The 23,903-nt window shown below is 35.5% G+C and overlaps 1 long non-coding RNA gene across 2 annotated transcripts in view; it reads right to left on the bottom strand.

Annotated features, from left to right (window-relative positions):
* LOC105379144 (uncharacterized) overlaps positions 1-23,903 on the bottom strand; it is a 142,695-nt gene that overhangs the window by 12,863 nt on the left and 105,929 nt on the right. For both annotated transcript variants that reach the window (XR_948706.2, XR_948707.2), the window contains exon 2: positions 476-571. This is a non-coding gene — a long non-coding RNA (uncharacterized LOC105379144). The remainder of the gene's footprint in view (positions 1-475; positions 572-23,903) is intronic.

The raw sequence follows: 23,903 nt of genomic DNA, 5'->3' as shown, positions 1-23,903 counted from the left end.
TCTACTTGTAGCAGGAATTTAAAAATGAGACCTAGAACTCAGTTTTGATGTATACTTGGTGACATGATAAAAACATGAAGAAAGAAGTGGAAAAAGAAGAGCAAAAAGCCAAGAACAGAATTTTAGAAATCATCCAGATGTGAAGTCAACAGAACATGATGAAATCAAAATAAGAACATAAATAAGGAGCAGCCAGAAAGTTAAGAAGAGAAACACCACATAATCTAGAACCTTTCAGTCTTATCATACATTACTTCAAAATAAAGACCACGAATTATCCTCTGCTCTAGCAAATTTTCTCCCTAAAGGCACTTCTTTGGCCATTTGTTAGTGGTCATGAAAGTGGGGTTAGCTTTAGAAAATTCTTTTCAAAATATGAAGCACGGAATCTTTATAGTACATACAAGGGTATGTTTTTAATTATGAAATGAAAATATAAAAGAAAATCTAATGAAATGCACTATAATTCACTTACATTTTACTGAGAAAAATGTACATGTGGCTTCTCTCCAGCAGATTTCACTGCTCCCGATAGTCACACTGGGGTAAATTGCCACCAGCAAGCTTTATACTTCAAAACAATCAAAATGAAAGAACATATGAGGTTCTACATAACAAATATAGGTCTGCATTTAAAGCCATTGTGTTTTATATTTTTAGTCATAAGCACAGGTCTCTTTATATTAATGTTGAAAGGACCTACAAATAGTTCATAAATTTAGGCCTGTAAAACTGCATACCTCCTACTGATACACAATACTGCTAGTTTTTATAAGCCTTCTCTGAAGCAGAGTCCTCAACTCCAAAGGCCACAAAAGGATGTTGACTAGGACTGGCCTATGCCTAAGGGACAAATAGTTCAAGTGAAGTCAAATATTAGCACTAAGAATTGAAATGTAACCTAACCAACCTACAAATCAAAGTTTTGTGATAATTTATTTTTCTTAAATGAGGCGCAATAGGATTTCAGTATCAGACATTGTCAAAATTCCAGCTCTGCTTCTTAATAGCTATGTGATCTTGAAAATGTTAGGAGATCTCGGTTTCCATATATGAGAAATGGATGGTTGTGTATAACTTGCAGGGTCATTGGGAAGGTTAAAAAAGATAGCTCATAGGTGGGAATTGAACAATGAGATCACATGGACACAGGAAGGGGAATATCACACTCTGGGGACTGTGGTGGGGTGGGGGGAGGGGGGAGGGATAGCATTGGGAGATATACCTAATGCTAGATGACGAGTTAGTGGGTGCAGCGCACCAGCATGGCACATGTATACATATGTAACTAACCTGCACAATGTGCACATGTACCCTAAAAACTTAAAGTATAATAAAAAAAAAAAGAAAAGTAAAAAAAAAAAAAAAAAATCAAAAATGAAAAAAAAAAAAAGATAGCATATATAAATTGCCTACAACAGAGCCTAGTCCATATATCTGTGCAATGTAATTGGGTAGACTAGTTTTAAAGAATAACATTAATTTTGTTTGATCTCTTTTTCTCTCCCACAATTTTTTCTACTTGTATTAACAAGAAAGCAGCATTTTTGTAATCTGACATTTTCTAGATTCCATATGATTAATGCAATTTTCAGCAAACTTTATGGTTAATTTCTCTAGCTTTTATGACCATCTATGATTAATGCTTTCTTAGCTAGTAATAAATGTGATAATGTTATGAGTTCTGTAACTTGAAGCATTATAAGTAGAACAAAATGAGATGATTTATGCAATTAAAGACAGGTAGGACAGCCCACACTTGACCCCCATTCAAAAAATATAAAATAATTTAAAATAGGAGTGCAGGCCTGTTTAGAAGAGAAAAACACATCATGCAAAAAAAAGAAACTGTGCTTTAAAAAGGTTGTCTGAAACTTTTTACAAAATACAGCATGCTCAGTAACAACATGGCTTTTTTTAGTCAGATTTGCTTCAAGTGAGTCATCGAAGTTCTCTGTGCCTCAATTTCCTTTTCTGTTAAATAATAATGGCAATATTTAAAGATTAAATGATTAATATATAAGCTATATAACTGTCAAGAGTAGTTATTTCTCAACAGTTTGTTGTTATTCTTTCGAGATTCATCCGGGTCCTGAGAACAAACAGAAAAAACTCAGCTAAGGATATGAAGAGAATTTAATGTTGGGGCTATTTTCAGAGGTGTAGGGACCAATAAGACCCAGGACTGTCAACAATCAGAAGCCATCATTACAACAGGATATGTAGAGGTAAGCAAGGGGAAGACAATTCTAGCCAACCTGGTGGTCATAAAGGGTTGCAGAACTACAGTACTCAAAGGGAAGGGGAGAAATATTTCTATTTTCAACTGACTAAAGCCAACAGAAAGCTAGAGGGCAAAGAACTGTACAGCCAAGGTGCTGGAGTCCATGGGAATCATCCTCCATGGACAGGCTCTCCAAGGGCAGAGAAGAGCAGAGAATCAATCGGGGGGTTGGAAGGTTAAACAGAGTCTATCCAACCTAAATTATAATTGAATAATTAAATCGAACCCTGTATTCCTCATAGTTACACTTAGGCCAGACCCTTTATTTTGCTCACTGGACTCCATTCTCAGTTCTCCATCTATTCCAAGTCCTTTTTTTGGCAGGGGACAGACTTAGTGTGATAGCTGTGCCACACCTGTTATCTTCTGGGTTCTTGATCAGTGAAGGGTAAGCCTTCATTTTGAGGCATTTCTGCTTCTCTTTTACTGCTCCAATTCATAGTCAAAAGGAATACAATTCTTGATGATTAAAAAGTACGATAAGTCTGATAAATCTGTTGTCAGTTTGTTCATGCAAAAGATAGAGTGTAAAAATCTAATGAGCCTTTCAACATTTTTGTGACTGCTTGGCAAACAAAGCAATGGCTCATTTTGGTTTTGCTTATTTACTATACTCTCCTCTACAGAATGATTCATAATGCCAACATTTACCTTTAGCCAAAGCTTTTACATTCAATCAGCAAACCACTTAAATACATCAGCCTGAATCTTGATATCAGTAATCTGGGTGAATTGGTATAAATTTTTGTTTCAGGTGTTTAAATTATTAATTTATAACAAGAGGAATTTTAAAAGAGACCAAATCTACTCTACTGTTTGGGGGGGTGTGTGTACATATAATAGTTAAAATGAAAAAGCATTTTGTGATTTTGTTACAATCTTCTCAATAACCTCTCAAATTAGGTATTTAGAGACAAATTGTGAAAGACTTAGAAATGGAACAGAAAAGGCTTGTGGGAGTTCTCAGTAAAAAACTAGGCATTTCCTAGGATACACCCTTCCTCATTATCTATCAGATTCATGCCTTTCATTGACAGAACTGTTTACTACTCTGTATATTGTAAATAACTGATCAAAATGGAAATAATTATTTTTCTGAGTTTTTTTAACAATACATAATATTTGCATATATTTATGTGGTATATATGATATATTACTACATGCATAGAATGTGTAATGATTAAGTCAGGATGTTAAGGTATCCATTACCACAAGCACTTATTATTTCTATGTTTGAGAACATTTCAAGTCATCACTTCTGTTATTTTGAAATGAACAATACATTGTTTTTAACTATAGTCACCCTACAGTACTATTGAACATTAAAACTTATTGCTTTTATCTAACTATATATTTGTACCCATTAACCAACTTCTCTTTATCCCAGCCTCTGGCAACCCCCATTCCACTCCCTACTCCCATATGAACATCTTTTTTAGCTTCCATATATGAGTGAGAACATGTAATATTTGTCTTTCTGTGCCTGGCTTGTTTCACTTAACATAATGACCTTCAGTTTCATCCATTTTGCTGCAAATGACATGATTTCATTCTTTTTTATGGCTAAATAGTATTCCATTGTGTAACTACATTACATTTTCTTTATCCATTTATCCATTAATGATATTTTCTTTATCTATTCATCCATGTAAGTCCACTTGGGTTAATTTCATATCTTTGCTTTGTGACTAGTGCTGCAATATGCTGCAGCAATATGAGTGCAGTTATCCCTTTGATATACTGATAATCTTCCTTTTGAATAAATACCCAGTAGTGGGATTCCTGAATAACATGGTAGTTCTATTTCTAGTTTTTTGAGGAACCTCCATACTGTTTTCCATAATGGCTGTACTAATTTACATTTCCACCAACAGTGTGTAACAGTTCCCCTTTCTCCTCCTCACCAGTATCTGTTATTTTTTGCCTTGTTAATAACAGCCATTCTAACTGGGTAAGGTAATATGTTGTTGTTATTTTGATTTTCATTTCACTGATGATTAATGATGTTGAGCATTTTTTTACATACCTATTGGCCATTTGCATGGTTTCTTTTGAGAAATATCTATTCAGATTCTTTACCCACTTTTTAATGAGATTGTTTGTTTGCTTGTGTGTTTTGCTCTTGTGTTGAGTTCCTTGCATAGTCTGGATATTTTGCAAATATTTTCTTTCATTCAGCAGGTTGTTTATTCACTCTGTTGATTATTTCCTTTGCTGTGAAGAAGGTCTTTATTTAATGTAGCCCCATTTGTCTACTTTTTGTTTTGTTTCCTATGCTTTGTGAGTCTCAGCCATAAAATCTTTGCCTAGACCAATGTCCTGGAGGGTTTCCCCTATGTTTTCTTCTAGTAGTTTTATAGTTTTGCTCTTATGTTCAAGTCTTTATTCCAATTTGAGTTGATTTTTATGTATGGTGAGATAGAGGTCTAGTGACCTAGGTCCTGCACATGGATTTCTAGTTTTCCCAGCACCATTTATTAAAGAAAGTATCCTTTCCCCAGTATATGTTCTTGGCACCTTTGTTCAAAATTGGTTGGTTGTAAATACAAGGGTTTATTTCTATGTTCTCTGTTCTGCTCCATTGCTCTATGTGTCTGTTTTTATACCAATATCATGCCATTTTGGTTATTATAGCTTTGTTTTAACAGTATATTTTAAAGTCAGGTAGTGTGATGTGTCCAGTTTTGTACTTTTTGCTTAGGATTGCTTTGGCTATTCAGGCTCTTTGATTCCAAACAAATTTTAGAACTTTGTCTTTCTTGAAGAATATCATTGGTATTTTGATAGGGATTGCATTGAATCTGTATATTGCTTTGGATAGTATGGGATGGTTTTCCTTTTTTTTTTTGTCCTCTTTTATTTCTTTCATCAGTGTTTTCTAGTTGTTCTTGTAAAAGTCTTCCACCTTTTCGGTTAAATTTATTTCTAGAATTTTTTTTTTTTGTAGCTATTGTAGGCGGGAACACTTTCTTGATTTATTTTTCCACTAGTTAATGCTGGTGTATAGAAAGGCTACTAATTTTTGCATGTTGATTTTGTATCCTACAAACTTTAATGAAATTGTTTATTATGGCTTTTATGGTGGAGTCTTTAGGTTTTTCTAAATATAAGATCATATCACCTGCAAAGATAGACAATTTGACTACTTCATTTCCAGCTTGGGGTTTGTTTTTTTTTTTTCTTTCTATTGCCTTATTGTTTCAGCTAGGACTTCAGTACTATGTTCGATAAGAGTGATGAAAGTGGAGGCCGGGTGCGGTGACTCACGTCTGTAATCCCAGCAGTTTGGGATGCTGAGGCAGATATATTACCTGAGGTTAGCAGTTCGAGACCAACCTTGCCAACATGGTGAAACCGCGACTCTACTAAAAATACAAAAATTAGCCGGGTGTGGTGGTGGGCACCTGGGAGGCTGAGGCAGAAGAATTGCTTGAGCCCGTGGGGAGGAGGTTGCAGTGAGCTGAGATCACGCCATTGCACTCCAGCCTGGGCAACAAGAGCAACACTTTGTCTCAAAAAAAAAAAAAAAAAAAAAAAAAGCTTTGAAAGTGAGTAGTTTGCTACTGTTTTATTGAGGACTTTGCATCTATGTTTATCATGGATGTTGGCTTATAGTTTTCTTTTTGTGGTGTCCTTCTCTGGTTTTGATATCAGGGTAATGCTGGCTTCATAGAATGACTTCTTAGCAAGAATCTCCTCCTTTTGTATATTTTCGAATATATTGAGGATAATTGGCATGAGTTCTTCTTTGTAATTTTTGTAGAATTCAGCAATGAATCAGGATGAAATAGAAAACCCAAACACACCAATAACAAGTAACGAGATTAAATCAGTAACAAACGTTCTCTTAACAAAGAAAAACTCAAGAAATAATTGTTGATCATAGACAGGCAAATTAATTCTTCCCATAGAGGGACAACTGACTTCCGTACCATTTGTGAGTTGGGGGTTGGAGGGCAGGGAGGGGTGAGCACTCTTTGTAATTGTAAATTCATTTAAATACTCCTGATTACTATATTTGTGTGGTATTTTGTATTATCCTTTAAAGTTGTAATATCTTTCTGGTTTCCTCAATAATTAATGAGTAAATTAAATCTTTGACACGTTTATTTTATATTTGTGTGTGTCATGATTTTATCTTTTTAATCTTTTACAGGTATTATCATCATTCCCCAGTTTTACAGATGGAGAAACTGAGGATCAGAAAAGTTGAGTAACTAGCCCACTGCGGAACTACTACTATTCTGAATACACAATTGTTGAACTCAAAGTGCATACTTTTCTCATACATGAAAATTTTATTAATGTAAAAAAAATCACATGAATATTGTATGCTAGAGCCTTTAATAGAACACTGGATCATATGTAGCATGAAAATCCAACCAACTAATAATTACCACTCATTAGATAATTAGTGACAGTATTGCTAATTACATTTCAACATAGTTTCTGTATGGTAATAAAAATGTTAATAATAGCCTGGTGAAGCATAAACAAAGTAATATTGTACAAACTCAGCAATCAAACATGCCAGTGATTCATTTCAGTTGGAACATTAGGAAATTTCAAGTATGTTTTTCTTCTCTCTACTGATTCTTTGGATTAGCAGACATTATTAGCTGGTTTTGATTGTTTCATATGTAGTGAAAAAAAGAAAAAAGAATCAGAGAAGGAGTAAAAGAAAACACAGGTGAAGGGGCTCGGCGCAGTGGCTCACGCCTGTAATCCCAGCACTTTGGGAGGCCGAGGCAGGCGGATTGCCTGAGCTCAGGAGTTCGAGACCACCCTGGGCAACATGATGAAACCCTGTCTCTACTAAAATTAAAAAAAAAAAAATTTAGCTGGGAGTGGTGGCACGTGCCTGGAGTCCCAGCTACTCAGGAGGCTGAGGCAGGATAATTGCTTGAACCTGGGAGGCAGAGGTTGCAGTGAGCCCAGATCACGCCACTACACTCTAGCCTGGGTGACAGAGCGAGACTCCATCTCAAAAAAAAAAAAAAAAAAAAAAGAGAGAGAGAAACAAGTGGAGGATGATGATGAGAAGGAGCAGCAGCCTTCAGCATGTGATAAATTAAAACAACATATATATGGAGTCAGGAATTCTGTTTTGCAATTCTGTACACTGGGCAAGTTATTTATTCAGAGTCAGGTCCTTCATGTATAAAATGGGGATATGACCACCTAGCACTAAGCTACTAAGGTAAAATGAGATAATGACTATATACCATCTGACACACAAGTAAGATTTCAGTATTTTAATTCCCTTTGCTCAACTCTAGCCCTGCTCCAGATCATTCCATAGCCCTCAAAACACAATGAGGCAGTACACAAGAACTTAGAATATACTTTACTATTAAGTAGTCTCAGAGAGCAAATAGTGAATCTGAATGTTCAACTAAATTTTTTTCCAGTCAGCACCTGTAAGATATGAATTCTCAATAACACACTTACAAAACAGCTAATTTCAAGACTCACATGAATGTGATGAAAAATGTGTTTTCTTGAAAAAATGTAAGACAAACAAGTGTCATATGACTCAGAAGTTCTGATATCCATCAAACAGTGTCTCAGAAAAAAATTATAGTGGTTACAGTGTGACAACCTGGAGGGACAACTTTTAGGTTATGGTTAGCTTTGTACACAGCTGAAGGGACAAACTAATATGCAGTCTTTAAACCATTTAAGATTATACAATGCTCTGCATTTCCTCCCTTAGTTTCTTTTCTCAGGGGAGTCGAGGGAAGGGGATGGGAGGATGTTTGTTTTAAATCAGATTCCCAATTTAGTTCATGAAGGATAAGTGGTAAAACATTAAGAACATCCGTTTTTATTCTTCTAGCTTCTTATATATTCCTCAGTAATGTCTCAAATTTCTTCTTCCAAATCTTTCAAAACTTTTCATCCTCATGAATCCTCTCTGAATTAAACAAAGAAACATAACTGTAAACCTTCTATAAATAAGCCAAAACTATCGTCATCTTTTATAATAAATATAAAATATTAAGCAAAAACATTATCATTTTTGAGTGGCCAAGTCACTCAAAATATAATAGTTAGCAACCGCTATAGAGGTTTCCATCCTATAAAAAAAAAAAGAATTTTCTTAAAGAGAACACAAAAGAAGAGCATAGATTATGAGTCATTCCCTGGATCTCCAGCAATCGATAATAGGTTAAAAAGCCATCTTAGACTCAGATGTTAAACATGGGGCAGTTTCTTTTGAGCAGAAGTCTATTTCAGGTTTCTTGAACTTTGACTGAGTTTGAACACATAACCATGGAGGTCACCATAGTACAGCCAACATGTATGTGTAGACTGTGTGGCCTGTATCTATCATGTTAGGCATTCTTGTTCACCTTGATAGTAAAGAGGATCAATCATACAATCCCATTATGGACCAACCTTCTACCATTGGCACCCCATCTTGGTCACTAAATATCACAGCAAGTTCATATACGCACATAACCTATGATGGTACACTCATAATGGTTATCAGGGAGTCAGACAGTGCAGATAAAATTATCATAGCTATATCAGAGAGGGTTAGGCCTGTAATCAAAAAATGCACCAGTAAATAACTGGAGTTCTACAAGATAATTCCTAATTGGTTTGAAGCTTTGGAAAATAGCTATGTATGGTAAGCGTGTTGTCATTCTTTATCAACAAAAAAAGTGCCAACGGGTAATTTAATAATACATCTTTCTTCCTTTTAGGGATCCTCTGTTTCAACTTAAATTAATTTAACACAAAGTTGTATACTGAAATTCAGTTCTGGCACAAAGTCCTGGAATTAGCATAGACCCTACAATTTACAGGCTCAGTAATCCTGAAAACTGCCCCCACTTCAGACACCAGTCACAAGTTCAAGTGATTCCCAGGCTATCCACACCACTAAACAACTGGCTACAAATTTGGATTTCCCCATATTGAGCCCACTCACACTTAATTTGCTGAATTCAGGAAAGTACTTTATTTACAATTACAGTTTTTTTGTTTTTTTTTTTTAATATAAAGGATACAACTCAAGAGCAGCGAAATGAAGAGGCACACGGGACAAGGTCTTAGTGCTTTCCAAACACAGAACTCCACAGCCTTCAACTCGTGAAGTCAGGGTGTGTCTTCCTCCTGGCACATTAATGTGCTCATCAACCAGGAAACTCCACTGAGCTTCAGCATCCAGAGTTTTTATTGCAGTTCATTAATTCTTTGGGCACAGAATTAAAATCAGTCTCCAGCTTTCCCCACCTCCTTGGTGGTTGGGTTATATCAAAGTTCCCTCCCTCTAATCATGTGATTTTCTGTGGCCAGGCTTCATCCTGAAGTTATCCAGGGTACCACTATGTGTTACTTAATTAGCATAAACTTAGGCATGATCCAAGGGGCTCATAAGTAACAAGGACACTCTTGTTATTCAGAAAATCTCAAGAGCTTAGAGGCTCCCTCCCAGAATCAGGGACAATATCCAGCCAAATCCTTTATTATACACCATGGGATGATTATATGCATTGTATTATCAAGCGGGCCAAAAACAAGGCCTGAATATGTAACTGATGATCAAATAATGTATTAAGAAATATAAATGACTTGTTTCTTCTACACCAGAATCACAGATCAGCTTCAGTACTCAAAGCCATCTGCTCTCCCAGCTTATTCTGGTGTTAGGAAATAATGGGACTTGAGTCTGAGAACCGAACCACTTCAGGAGCATTGGCATCATGTACATGGAATCACATAATCTACACCATTGGCATCTTAGTCTCTCTTATTCTATTTTAGTCTATTTCAAAGTCTAAACAATTTCTGATCATTAGCCAAAAGGGCCTCCTCTCTAAATACTGACAGACTTGAATGCCATTCTCTTAGTTCATCCAATTTTAAATAACTGATGCTTTATAGCAAACACCTCCAGACATCAATATAGCTATGAAATCTATAACAGAAAAGTACCAAATTATCTGATCTCTCACTCAACTTCAGGATAGATAGGATACCAATTTTTCCACGCTGTAATTTGTCTCAGATTCTTTCAGCATCTGTTGTAGAAATGTACTCTGTAGAACTGTTTATCCTGTCTAGCCCTCCAATTCAGACAGCACAAAAAACACTGGAGTTGGAACTGGCAGACCTAAAGGCTAAGTTTCAGCTACCAACATACATTGAAAATTTTACTTAACTTCTCTGTACTTCGGATTTGTCATCTGTTAAATGAAAGTAATGTCAAAATCACAACCACACTGTAATGATAAAGTATGATAACACATGTATCACTTTAAGGCACAGTAGAAGATAAATTTGTTAAAACAGGCAGAATCCTGATTTGTGCTCTGAAGTCCTCATGTTCAATTAAACTGCATTTTTTCATATGCTGTGCTTTAGGATCAATTACACACACACACACACAAACACACACTGTTCTCTGTTTAGCTCTACCAAATGGCCACTTGAAGACATAATATGCATTCAGTAATTACACCTCCACCCTTGGCAAGGTAGTTAGGGATGGACTTTAAGCCTTACAATGTGGCAAAAGCCTGCCAAAACAAATCCAAATACTATACAATGCTGGTATCTCAACCCTGCCAATAGCTCCTTCAGCTTATCTTCATGCAGAGATACATGGCTCTCCATGGTAAGTCAGGTATGTCAATTTGCATTCTAAAAATGCCAAATTTGTCCTCCTATACTTCTGATCCTGAAGTTAAATATTCAAAACACCAAATACCTATATTTAGCACTCTACAAAGCTTTCAATGTTGACTTGACAGCCATGTGGTTCCAATCAAAAGCCTGTATAGGAAAATTAATATTTGAGAATAATAGTCAACTGGTGTGTTTTGATCTTCCTTAATTCATGCCTCCTTCAATACATTCTCTTGCACCTACTGTTATGTTCATCCCAGCCAAATTTAGTTATAAAAAGCCTAATTTTCTGTTGTTTCAAGTTACAATGAATATATATCAAATATCCTTGTCCAAAGTGCACACCACATCCTCAGCTACTCCTGCTCAGAACTTGACATGGAAATATGGTCACAGGATAAGGATTGAAGAGCAGACTGTTGGATAGCAATTTGGAAGTGACAATGAGCAGCAAAGTAGATAATGAAACTATTTTCAAGCCCTGAGATTTGGGGTTGTGAAAGAGAAAACTGCTTCCACTTGTGAGTACTGTAAGAAAACCAATATCCTCTGAAGATAGTCAGGTTTTGGTTTACGCAGGGAAGTCAAGATAATACTTTGTGACAATGTGAAAATTAAAAGAATCCTGCTAATGAGGAGGAAGGCATTTCAGAGGGCATCATGGAACAGTCTGGGTACAAAAAGGAGGACCAGATCAGTCATCCACGGGCACCATAGGGAAGAGATTCCAATTGGTGAGAGATGGCAGAAAAGGCTTACTCTCTCGTGGAAACTCAGATAAACAAGGACACGAGGCATGAGGGATTTGTCCTCATAGTCTGGGCAATGAGAAAAGACAACCAATGTTACTACTGCTACAAGAAGTCACCACAGAGAATTGCCCATGGCATTGTGGCTTACTTCAGCGTGATGGAATTTAAGCTACAATTAACTTCTAAAAACTATACCATGTAGTGTAGTAGCCCATCCTGTTGGCATTTCCCAAAAAATATAATGGCCATCAAGGTTGGCAAGATGAAGGAGGCAGGGGAATGGACAGACACGGTCAATGTAATAGTGCTCATGACCATAGGCTAACATTTTATGTATCTTACAGGCGACTTTTAAAAATTACTCCTATAATTTGATGGTATCAATTATAAAGAAGATAAAAAATATAAATATTTTGAAATAACACAGAATTCTCCTGTCTGCATACTTTCCAACTGTGTGTAAACAAAGAAGTTAATAAATTCATCAGATTGGAAAGATTTACTACCAAAGAACTCTATCAGTGGACAATTAAAAGGTTTAGTTAAGGAATATATTCATAATTGCAAATCTTCCTATAGAAACAAAGAAAACACTTTGAGATTAACGAGAAAACATAGTCAGAATCCATCATGGTTGAGGGAAATAATGAGGCTGCAGCTCAGGAAATTCTCAGTTCTATTACAATAAAAAACAAGTTTAACAGCACATACGTCATTCAACAGTTACACTATATAGGTCTCTCAAATAAACTATTCTGTTCCCATCCCCCATTGCTTGTTTTAACATATGTTTCACACATGAAAGTCTCTACCCCATGACCAGCTTTTATCATCAGCTTTCAAAAACTGTGAAAATATGTTTTCACTCCAGTTTTGCATATTTGTCAACTTAGGAAAGTTCCTATCACTTGTGTGAATATAGGAAGAGGGTCTGCCTAGAGAGCTAACTCATAAAAAATAACTAAATTACAGTTCTCATTTTATAGCTCTTCTCTTGGCATGGCGTTTGGTGTCAAAAATAGATCTTCTGAATTGAATCCATAAATAAATATATCTTATATATAAATTAATTTATACATATATATATGGAGTGAGAAAAAAAAGAAAGAGAGAGAGCACCACATCTGACTCAAGTTATGAATCTTTGTTTTCTTTCTCCAGGAGTTCTTGTGGAATGGGCTGTGCTCACCCAGACTCCTGTCTCACCTAACATCCAACAGCACATTGGGAGGTCAGATAAGCCTTAGAAGGATTGAGGAAATCGCTTCTCTGTATGCCTTCTTCAGCAACATACATTGCTTCTGCCTTATTTTCTTTGCAGCAATATTATGAAGTAAGACCCCCACAGCAATTACATGACTTTCCACTGGTGGGTAGTGTTCCTTCTCTGCCCCTTAAACACAGCTTCATTACCAGGTACTGAAGCAATCAGCCTATGCTAGCCCACACTAAAGAACACCTACATGCAACTGAAGAATTTTATCCAAGGTATATGAGGAAAGCTGCTATAGAATTCAGCTACTAAAGCTATACACTGGCCAGATGGTGTTTTAATCATCAAAGAGGGAGAGAATTAAAACTAGGAGGCTGGCACCTCTGAAAAGAGACTGTGACATCAAGATGCATACCAAAGTGCAGGGCTCTCAGTTTTACTTCCTAAGCACTACTACATTAGTGAGATGTTAACTAGCTGCTTCCGCAGAGAATTCTTCAAACATAAAATGGGGAAAGTTCTTACTTTGGCCTTGCTTGCCTACTGGCAAAGGGTAGAAAGTAAAAGAGCACCAAAGCAGTTGATACACAATGAAGTTGAAAGGTGCAATTGCAGAAGGGAAGGCTGCAAAAACAATGCCCGAAGCATAATTGTAGGCTGGCTGCATAACCACTGTAACCAACAGACTTGTAGAGCAGGCTCCAGAATGTAGCTGCCTCTTTGAGCCACACTGCAGGTCAGCTCAGAGTCTAAATATTAGCTCATACGTGATAACAGACTAGAAAGTTAAACACTTTAAACATAAAATAATCTTCAGGTGCCCAGAGGAAGGAAGAAAAAACAAAACTAGCCAAGGACGGTAGCCTTGTCTTTGCAAATGAGAGAAAACAAAATGATTTAAAACAATGCTGCCTGTGACTATCCGAAATTCTGCTGCTCCCATCTAATGGAGGTGTAAAATAATTATCTCCACTTCCAGGAGAGAAATAATTAGATGATGTTGAATTGAAAAGTTTCTATGTTTAAAATATAGTTTTTATTACTCTAAAAGAAATTAGTGTTGTTAGTAGAAAAATTATAAAGTTCAGAAAAATATGGAAGAAAAAACCATAATCCTACATCCCAGAGGCAACCACTACTAGTTTGTCATTTTTCTTTCTAGTTTTACACATATTTTACATGGTTGATATACTAAATATGAAATATTATACTCTGCTTTTTCAGTTATTAAAATAAATATTTTTTGAACTGACTACATTTTAATGATACCTGGCTTACTTGTTAAAAAGTATTTCTTTTAGGTCATATAAAGTACAATGTATTCTATCATGTAGATATAGTGATAAGTTAAAAAATATAGTTTAAGGTCTCTTACTAGTTCAAATCACAAACCTAAGAAGCTAATTAGAGTGTAAATTCTGCATATGGTAGAGTCAGAAACACCAAACCACACTAAACCCTTTTGTGAGTGGGGACAACAACACCACATATAAATGAAGAGTTCTGCAGAGCCTCAAGGAGCTTCCACTCATTTTGTCAATCATTATTCTGGCGTGTCCATTTGCAAATGAAATAAAGCAAAAAAAAATGTAAAAAAGTCTTTTGTGATTGCCCCTCAACTCCTCCACAATTTCTTGCTTGTGTCTTTGAAGACCAACTGCAAACTTCAAGTTTCTACAATTTTCCTTGATTCTTTGGTTTCTAGGAAGACAGCTTTCCCCAGTTGTGTTCTCATGAGCTTTGAATAAACTCTAATATAACACACTTATTATATCATTAATTTATTGTCATTGTTTAAGCTCCTCAAGACTCTATGAACTTCTTGAAGGTACAACTAATATGTTGTATTTATTTTTCCCTCAGAATCTATCAATGACTGACTAGTAGAGAGTAAGGGCTCAATACCTATTTTTGAGCAATCACTATTAAATAAATTTAAAGTGAAACACATTTTTTTCTGAAAACACAGGAAAGCAATATTCAAAAGGGGTCCCGATCCAGACCACAAGAGAGGGTTCTTGGACCTTGTGCAAGAAAGAATTTGGGTGACTCATACAGTAAAGTGAAAACAAGTTTATTAAGAAAGTAAAGGAATAAAAGAATGGCTACTTCATAGGCAGAGCAGCGGTATGGGCTGCTTGACTGAGTGTATGTATAGTTATTTCTTGATTATATGCTAATCAAGGAGTGGATTATTCATGAGTTTTCCAGGAAAGACATGGGAATTTCCTTGGAACTGAGGGTTCCTCCCCTTTTTAGACTGTATAGGGTAACATTGGATATATAACCTCCAGGTTATAGGATAACTTCCAGGCATTTGTAAACTGTGATGGCACTGGTGGGGGTGTCTTTTAACATGCTAATGCATTATAATTAGCATATGCGCAGTGAGAAAGACCAAAGGTCCCTTTCATTGCCATCTTGGTTTTGGTGGGTTTTGGTCAACTTCTTTATGGCATGCTGTTTCATCAGCAGGGTCTTTGTGACCTGAATCTTGTGCTGGCTCCTATCTCATCCTGTGACTATGAATACCTAATGTTCTGGGAATGCAGCCCAGTAGGTCTCAGTCTTATTTTACCCAGCCCCTATTTAAGATGGAGTTGCTCTGGTTCAAATGCCTCTGACAATACTGCACAATTTGTATTAATATAAATCTTCATAAATTACAAAGTTGCTTTTAAACTATGTTCATGTATGTGCTTTTATAGAATCCTCAACTCAGTGTTTAAGATATCTCTTTTATTTCTTGAAATATGTTGCAAAAGATATATAATAACATTTGTGTTTCCTAAGAAAGAATTATGTATAATTTCTGTGAGGATATCAGCAACTTGGTATTGTGATGGTTAGATCTATAGAGTTAGGAATGATAGAAACCAACAGAGAGACAAAGATTTTAAAGCTTAACAGAGGTTTAAGATTTCCCTTTAAATCAAAAGTACCAAGGAGTACTATAAAATCATTCATCCTCTTTTTCAACTGTCAAACATCTATGTCAATACATTTTAGACCTTGTTCAAGGGGACAGCAGAGAGAACAGAGGATAGCTTAAATGGCTTATCCACAATCATATAATAAACCAGAAAGGATGTGGTAATCCATCATTATAGAACATTTCCTCATAAGGATTTGGGATGTCTTGAGGTCTATTTGAAAACTATTTTAATCCCCTGTGGGGAGGGGCTATCTTCTCTATGAGTTAATGGAAAAGATTCCAATATTGTTTCTTGATGCCTTTTTCTCTTTTTCTTTTTTTCTGATTTTATTTTGTATTCTTTTCCATTTATGTTTTTAGAAAACATAGAGAAATATTTTTATATAAGCTGCCATATATGATAAACACATATTTTATTAATAATATCAGAATGTTGAAAAATTAAAATAAAAAATATATTCAATATCTATGACATACTGTGCAGGAATACATGAATTTCCTTACAAACATCAATCTAATTTAAACCTCACCAAAGAAATTCAATTTTAATTTTACTGAGTATTGATCCCAAGCGAGGTTATTTCAGGCTCTTTGGAGGGGAGTTATCTATTACAGCAATCACCACTCCCGCGAGCCAGAGAAGAAATTGAATCAGAGAAACTATTTGCAAATGGCCAAACAAATTGATAATTTTAAACGGAATGGACTCTAATACAGAGAAAGTATAAGCCCTATTCATTTTTTTCTGCTAATGACAGTGGTTTCTCTCAGACAGACAATATGAGGCTGATTGGGTTGTTATGGCAAAGCCATTCAAAGGCTTGGAAAATGTGTTTCTGGAAATGTCCTTTCATTCTTTGGCTTTGGTACAGCTAACACCCGTGTGTAGCCTGGTGCTTACACAATTATTTCAGAGTACCTACTCTCCTTGGGTAGCTTCCCACTGGGGACATTTTGAAGACTTCCAATCTGGCCAGATGAGTGCTTTCTGGGCTCAATAAAGACACAGCTCTCCCTGGAGAAATAGTTACACTAGGGAGGTATTTGGGGAAGGCAATTGGAAAGCAGGTCACTGATTGCTGATGAGAGAGCCCTGAGCAGCCATCTCCGGCTTGGTTTAAGCACAGAAGGTTATAGATCTAGTGTGACATTCCAAATAGTGGGAAGGATAACCCAACAAACAACTCAACCCTTATTTTGTTATGATTGCAGCCATTCTTCTTGTCTACTTTCAGCCAAAGCTAAAAAATTTAGCAATTTGATATAAAATATTCGAGGTTATATATCATCTTTACTATTTTTAAAAAATTAAAAATATTTTCTTGGCCCCTATATATCCATTAATAGGACATTAAATTTCTTTTAATCTCCAATAATAACTAAGAATTCTCAGTAATGCCTCATGTTGGCTGTTTGTAAGCCCATGTTAAATGATTCCCCAACTTTATCAGTATTGGAAGGAATAACACAGCGTTGCTCCCATTTTCAGTTAGAAAAAAATATTTTTAACTATATATAGAAAATATTTGTACATGTTTAATATATGTATATATGTACATTTTTAAAGTAACAATAAAAATCAATATTGCATACCCTCCACCCAGCCTAAGAAATAATCACTACAAATGTCTTTGAAGCCCTGAGTGTACCCATTCCCAACCCCAGCTCCTTTTCTCCTTGCCACTTAAGGTAACCATCAACTTGAATTGTTTATTTATTATTCCCTTACTAATCTTTGTAGGCTTACTACATAATTATGGAATTCCAAATAATACATTATTTAATTTTACACTTAACAAAATGGAGTAACACTATATGTATTCTCTTTTGCCAGTTTTTTTTTTTTTTTTTTTTTTTCAAATTAGAGACAAGGTCTTATTATGTCACCCAGGCTGGTCTCAAACTCCTGGACTCAAGCAATCCACTCACCTTGGCCTCCCAAAATGCTGGGATTACAAGCATGAGCCATCATGCCACACCCAGTCATTGTGCCTTTTTTTAAGGATCCTTGTCTTGTTTCAGTTCTTAGGGGGATTGTTTTCATCTTTTCCCCATTCAGTACGATGTTGGCTGTGGCTTTGTCATATATGGTCTTTATTATTTCAATGTATATTACTTCTGTGCCTAGTTGTGAGGGGTTTTTTTTATCATGAAGGGGTGTTGAATTTTTTCAAATGCTTTTTCTGCATCTATTGAGATGATCATAAGGTTTTTGTTTTTACTTCTGTTTTGCGATGAATCGCAATATATTGATTTGCATATGTTGAACCATCCTTGCATCTCTGGAATAAATCCCAGTTGAGCATGGTGTATTATCTTTTTAACACGTTATTGGATTCAGTTTGATACTACTTTGTTGAGGATATTGGCATCTATGTTTGTCAAGGATGGTGGCCTGTAATTTTCTTTTTTTGTTGTTGTGTCCTTCTCTGGTTTTGGTATCAAGCTAATGCCGGCCTCATAGAATGAGTTAGAATGAATTCTCTCATTTTTTATTTTTTGGAATCACTTGAAAAGATTTGGTGTTAGTTCTTCTTTACAAGTTTGGTAGAATTCAGCACTAAAGCCATCCTGTCCTGAGTTTGTCTTTGTTGGGAGATCTTTTACTTCCGAATCCAACTCCTTACTGGTTATTAGTCTTGTTCAAGTTTTCTCTGTCCTCTTGTATCAATCTTGGATTTTATTTATCCATTTCCTCTTGGTTTTCTAATGTTAGTGTGTAGTTTATCATGATGGTCTCTGATGATCTTTTGTACTTCTGTGGTATCAGTTGTAATAATTCCTTTCTCATTTCTGATTTTACTTATTTGGGTCTACTCTCTTTTCCTGCTTAGTCCAGCTAGGAGTTTATCAATTTTGTTTACCTGTTCAAATGAATAACTTTTTAATTTCATTTATTTTATTTATTTGTGTTTCTTTTTAGTGTCTATTTCATTTACTGCTTCTTGACCTTTATTATTTCTTTATTTCTACTAATTCCTGAGTTTCATTTATTCTTACTTTCCTAGTTCCTTCAGGTTCCTTAGGTTGTTTATTTGAAATCTTTCTACTTTTTTGAAGTAGGTATTTATTGTAGTAAACTTCCTTCTTACCACTGCTTTTGCTGTATCCCATAAGTTTTGGTACATTGTATTTACATTTTCATTTGTTTCAAGAAATTTTTTCATCTTCCTAATTTCTTCATGGACACAGTGCTCATTCAGGAGCACATTGTTTAATTTCCATGTATTTGTACAGTTTTTAAACTTCCTCTTGTTTTTGATTTCTAGTTTTATTCCATTGTGGTATGAGAAGATGCTTGACATGATTTCAATTTTAAAAAATTTGTTGAAGCTTGTTTTGTGGTCTAACATATGGTCTATCCTGGAGAATGTCCCATGTGCTTATAAGTAAGCATATTCTGCAGCTGTTGAATGAAATGCTCTGTAAATGTCTGTTACATCCATTTAATCTAACCTGCAGTTTAAATCCAATGTTTCTCTGTTAATTTTCTCTCTAGATGTTCTGTCCAATGCTGAGAATGGGGTATTGAGGTTTCCAACTGTTACTGTAGATTTTTTCTGTTCAAAATTTCAGGTAGACTTTCATTTTGGCAAATATTATAGCCTGGATTGAAATTGCATTCTTTACTAAAGAATCTGTTCTTGTTTCTGTCAGCTCTTCAGCTATACTCCTAATCAAATATCACCTCAAATAAAGTTTTAGATGAAGTTGAATGTTTCCAGATTGAGAGTGTGAATTTGGGCCATAAATTCATGTGGGGACAGGATTTGAGTTACAAACTTTCTTCTTTCTACACCATCATGGTTGAAACAAGGGAGTGTCCTTCCTACCTCCATTGGTGGGTGAATGTCTTCTTCTACTGAGGATATAGCTTTTTGGGTCCTGGCTCTGGGGAATAATCTTCTTTCAGTTTCCCTAACTTATGCAGGCCGGGTTTACATTCTTTTCCCCAACCTCTGAAAATGGATCTTCAGAGTTATCATTAATTGATAATTGCCCCAGTATGGCCAGCTATTCTGTGCTTGCTGAACTTTCTGAACTTCTGCTTACATTCTGTTTTTAGTCTCTGAATATTTTCCTTATTTTCTTGTCAGCTCAATACACCATGGAATACTATGCAGCCATAAAAAAGAATGAAATCATGTCCTTTGCAGGGACATGGATGGAGCTGGAGGCCATTATCCTTCGCAAACTAACAAAGAAACAGAAAACCAAGTACCACATGTTCTCACTTATAAGTGAGAGCTAAATAATGAGAACACATGGACACATACAGGGGAACAACACACACTGGGGCCTTTCAGAGAGTGGAAGGTGGGAAGAGGGAGAGGATAATGAAAAATAACTAATGAGTACCAGGATTAATAGCTTGGTGATGAAATAATCTATACAACAAACTCCCATGACTCAAGTTTACCTATGTAACAAACCTGCACATGTACCCCTGAACTTCAAAGTAAAAAAAAAAATTTAATATATTTGCTAATGTTTTTTCAATGTTCTAATTATTTTGAAGTGAAAGGTTTGTTAAGGGTCTTTGGACCACTATATCATCAGAAATTGAAAACTCATATATTTATTCAAATTGTTTACCTGAAAAACCTTATCAACTAATAGTAATGTAATTCATATTGTTGGTACCAAAAAAACAAAGACAAACTAAGTGTTTGACAGTTTGAGAGTAAACTGGATAGATTAATATTATACTGATTTTGATCTAAATATCTAAGGTTCCAATTATGAAGGATCTTTAAAAAGCAATCATTTTCTGCATTCAATACAACCCAAAGATTATATTCAAAACAGCACAAGTACCAGTGGATTAGACAAAAGCAGACAATATCCATACTTGTGAGTACCTGCAATATTTCTACACTGACAGGTAGAGAGGTGAAGAGGGAAGGGTATTATACATGAACCCACTTCTCCCCAACTTCCAAGAAGGGATTTTAGTGGTGTACATGTGAATACGACAGAAAGTAAATGAACAGTGAGTTTGCCCAAAGACTCTTTTTTACATCTTGTATGAATCTAAAAAGTAGGTAAAAGACTGACTGAGGATTTTTAGGTTCAAGATTCAAAACAATTAAAGGCAACATTTAAATAAGGGTGGTAAGTTATACTGCTTACCAGATACTAAAGCTGGTTTTTGTACTTGGGCCCCTATACTTTAACTTTATTTTGGAGGCCTATAAATACTCCAAAATGGGCATCTCTCATCCTCTTTCATATAAAGGCTATGTATGAGAAGAAAATAAGTCATGTCAATAAAAAGAACAAAATAAACTATCTTCATAAAGTCATTCAGCACATAAATACATCTTTTAATTTTTACTTTTTCATTTACTTTTGCTTAAAAATATTACCTTGGGTGATAAGGACAATTAGGAGAAGGTAATATTTTTAAGCAATTGCCTTGGGTGATTAGGACAATTGCTTAAAAATATTACCTTGGGTGATTAGGACAATTAATATCCTAATTCTAAAAGTCCTAAATCTCTTAATGTGTTACATCAAAAACCAAACAAGACTCATCTTATTGTGCTCTTAGCCTCTAAAGAAACCAACCCCAACTCTTTCTAATCATCAGCTAACTCACTGTTCACAATCAACTTACATTTAATTCCCATGAAACACCACCAAGATCACTGTCAGGGACATGTACATCAGTCAGGCAGGCCTCATTGCTTTTTTGTACTATACTTCATTTCTACTAACAGGACAGAAGTTTGGGGAGTTGCCGCATTCCAACAGGAATCTGGCAAGATTCAATGAGGATTTTTTATAGTAGCTTATGGTCTAAGATATCACTAAACTTCATCATCATACTGAGAAGCCAACACTAGTTACAGACATGCTGCTGTACTGGAATCACCAATATAAAGATTCAAGATAAGCACAGGACAGTGATTAGTGGACTCAAATGCCACCTACAGGCTATAACTTTATTTAATTTTTTTATTAAGACAAGATTAAATGCAATATTTAAAGAGAGGTGGTAAGTTACACTGCTCACAAGAAACTAAAGTTGATTCTTGTGTTTGAGCCCTTCGGTAGTTTAATGTTATTTGAGTGACCCATAAGTACTCCACAGTGAGTACAATATAAAATATAACAAAGTTCTAGTATTCTAATGAGACTACAATCTGGTATATTTAAAAGATGACAAAAGAATTAATAACAAATATATTGACATTAATACTATTTCCTTTTTGTGTTTTTTAACCTGCTTAGATCATTAACCTTTGATAGCTAATAAAAAGGATCTCATTACAGGTATAGGTTATGTCTACACAGTAATCAGTGAGGCACTTAGATGATATTACAGATAATTTATCTGTATAATAATTACCAAAAATCATCAAATATTAAATAAGTACCTACCCTGAAATGGGCACTGTGATAATCAAAAAATCGATTCTGGAGATTTGCATTATGCAGTTTGCCTATCTACCTTAATTGAAATTAATTGCATTATAAAATTGACCTGCCTTAATTGAAATTAAATGATTAAAATTAAATAACCAAGCAAATATTTGTTAAGCTGCTGCTATGTTCCCAACACTGAGCTAGTTAGAGGTGATACAAGGAAATGAAAAGTTTTGTCATCAGATTGTTAACAATGTAATTAGGGAGAGGAGACCTATACAAATCAAAACACAAAGGAGAGTTCCAGGGAGCAAGAGTCATAAAAATTGAGAAACACAAGAGATTATAGAATAACTAGGTTCTTAATTAGACCTAAAACTGATAAACTTAAGTGGAGGGGAAAATAGCAAAAGAGATGTGGCAGCAAAAATCATGAGGTATACATGCTCAAGAAACATTCATGGCCAAAACCATATTTCTTCAGCATCTGTTTTATTAAAGATCTATAAACTTTTTTATTTTTCACAATAACTCTTTAAGGTGACTACTATTATTATTCCTGTCTTATAGATGAAGAGACTGTGACTCAGAGAAGCTGAATAACTTGACCAAAGCCTTTGAACTGATAAGTAGCAAAATCAGAATTCAAACCCAATACTTTATCATTCCAAATTGGGTGCTCTGAACCACTATGCCTGCAATAAATAAACCATCTGCCTTTAAAGAAAAGAGTGTATGGCATGAGATAAATTTGGGAGGTATAACAGCCAGGCAACAGATGGTACATTGAAATTGGGTTATTCGAGTTGAGTTTTGATACAGGGAACATTTACAAAGGTATGTGCAGAGTGTAGGAAAGCCACAAGAATATGGCAGTATTCCAGTGCTAGGAAAAACCACTTCCACCCCTCATCCTGAAGGATGGAGTGAGGTGTGGGAATTTCCAGACCCCAGAAGGAGAGAGCCTTGGGGAGTGGGGTGCCTGACAAGATGCATGACTTTTTGTAGAAAAGAGGAAGCTGGGTAAATAAATTCCCTGACCTGACCCTCTTCCTTTGTTTCTATTTCCCACTGGAGGTCTCATTGATGGAGTTTATGCAGATCAGTCACCCAGAGCCAAAGAGTAACTGAAAAAGAGTGGAGAATGGATCTAGAGAAGCAAATACAAGGTAGACATCACTAGGATGTTCTAGGAGGGTCTTGAGGCTAACTTATTTAGATTTTATTCTGTTGGGAATGGAGGACCAATAAATGTTTGGGTGGGCGAGAATTGTATATGGAAGAACTGCTTCAGGGAAACTAAATTTGTTATTAATGTAGATAGAATAAAAAGGCTGGCTGCAAAAACACTTTTGGAAAAAAATTAGAAAGCTCTGGTAGTGACTTTATGAGCCTAATAGTGAATAGTCTAGCAGAACAGAAAGAAAGAGGCTTAATGAACTGTCTATAATATTATAAAGAAATAAACTTGACTCCCAATCACACAGATAACATGATCCATTGATGAAATAATTTAGTTCTCCCTTCTCTCTCTTCTGCTTTCTATTTTGCACATTTGGGGATTTATTTTAATGGCTTCACAATCATGCCTTTCAGTCCATCATCAAATTCCTTATGCAACTATCTGGTAACATAAGCTGAGTAGTTAAGACAATAGCTCTCAGGATTGATGATCTCATTTTGGATATTAAGGGGGAAGAGGGAGAG

Source organism: Homo sapiens, chromosome 5 (genome assembly GCF_000001405.40).
Source record: "Homo sapiens chromosome 5, GRCh38.p14 Primary Assembly".
Classification (NCBI taxonomy): Eukaryota; Metazoa; Chordata; class Mammalia; order Primates; family Hominidae; genus Homo; species Homo sapiens.
Note: the sequence above shows the minus strand (reverse complement) of the source record. Positions and strands in the feature narration are given on the sequence as shown.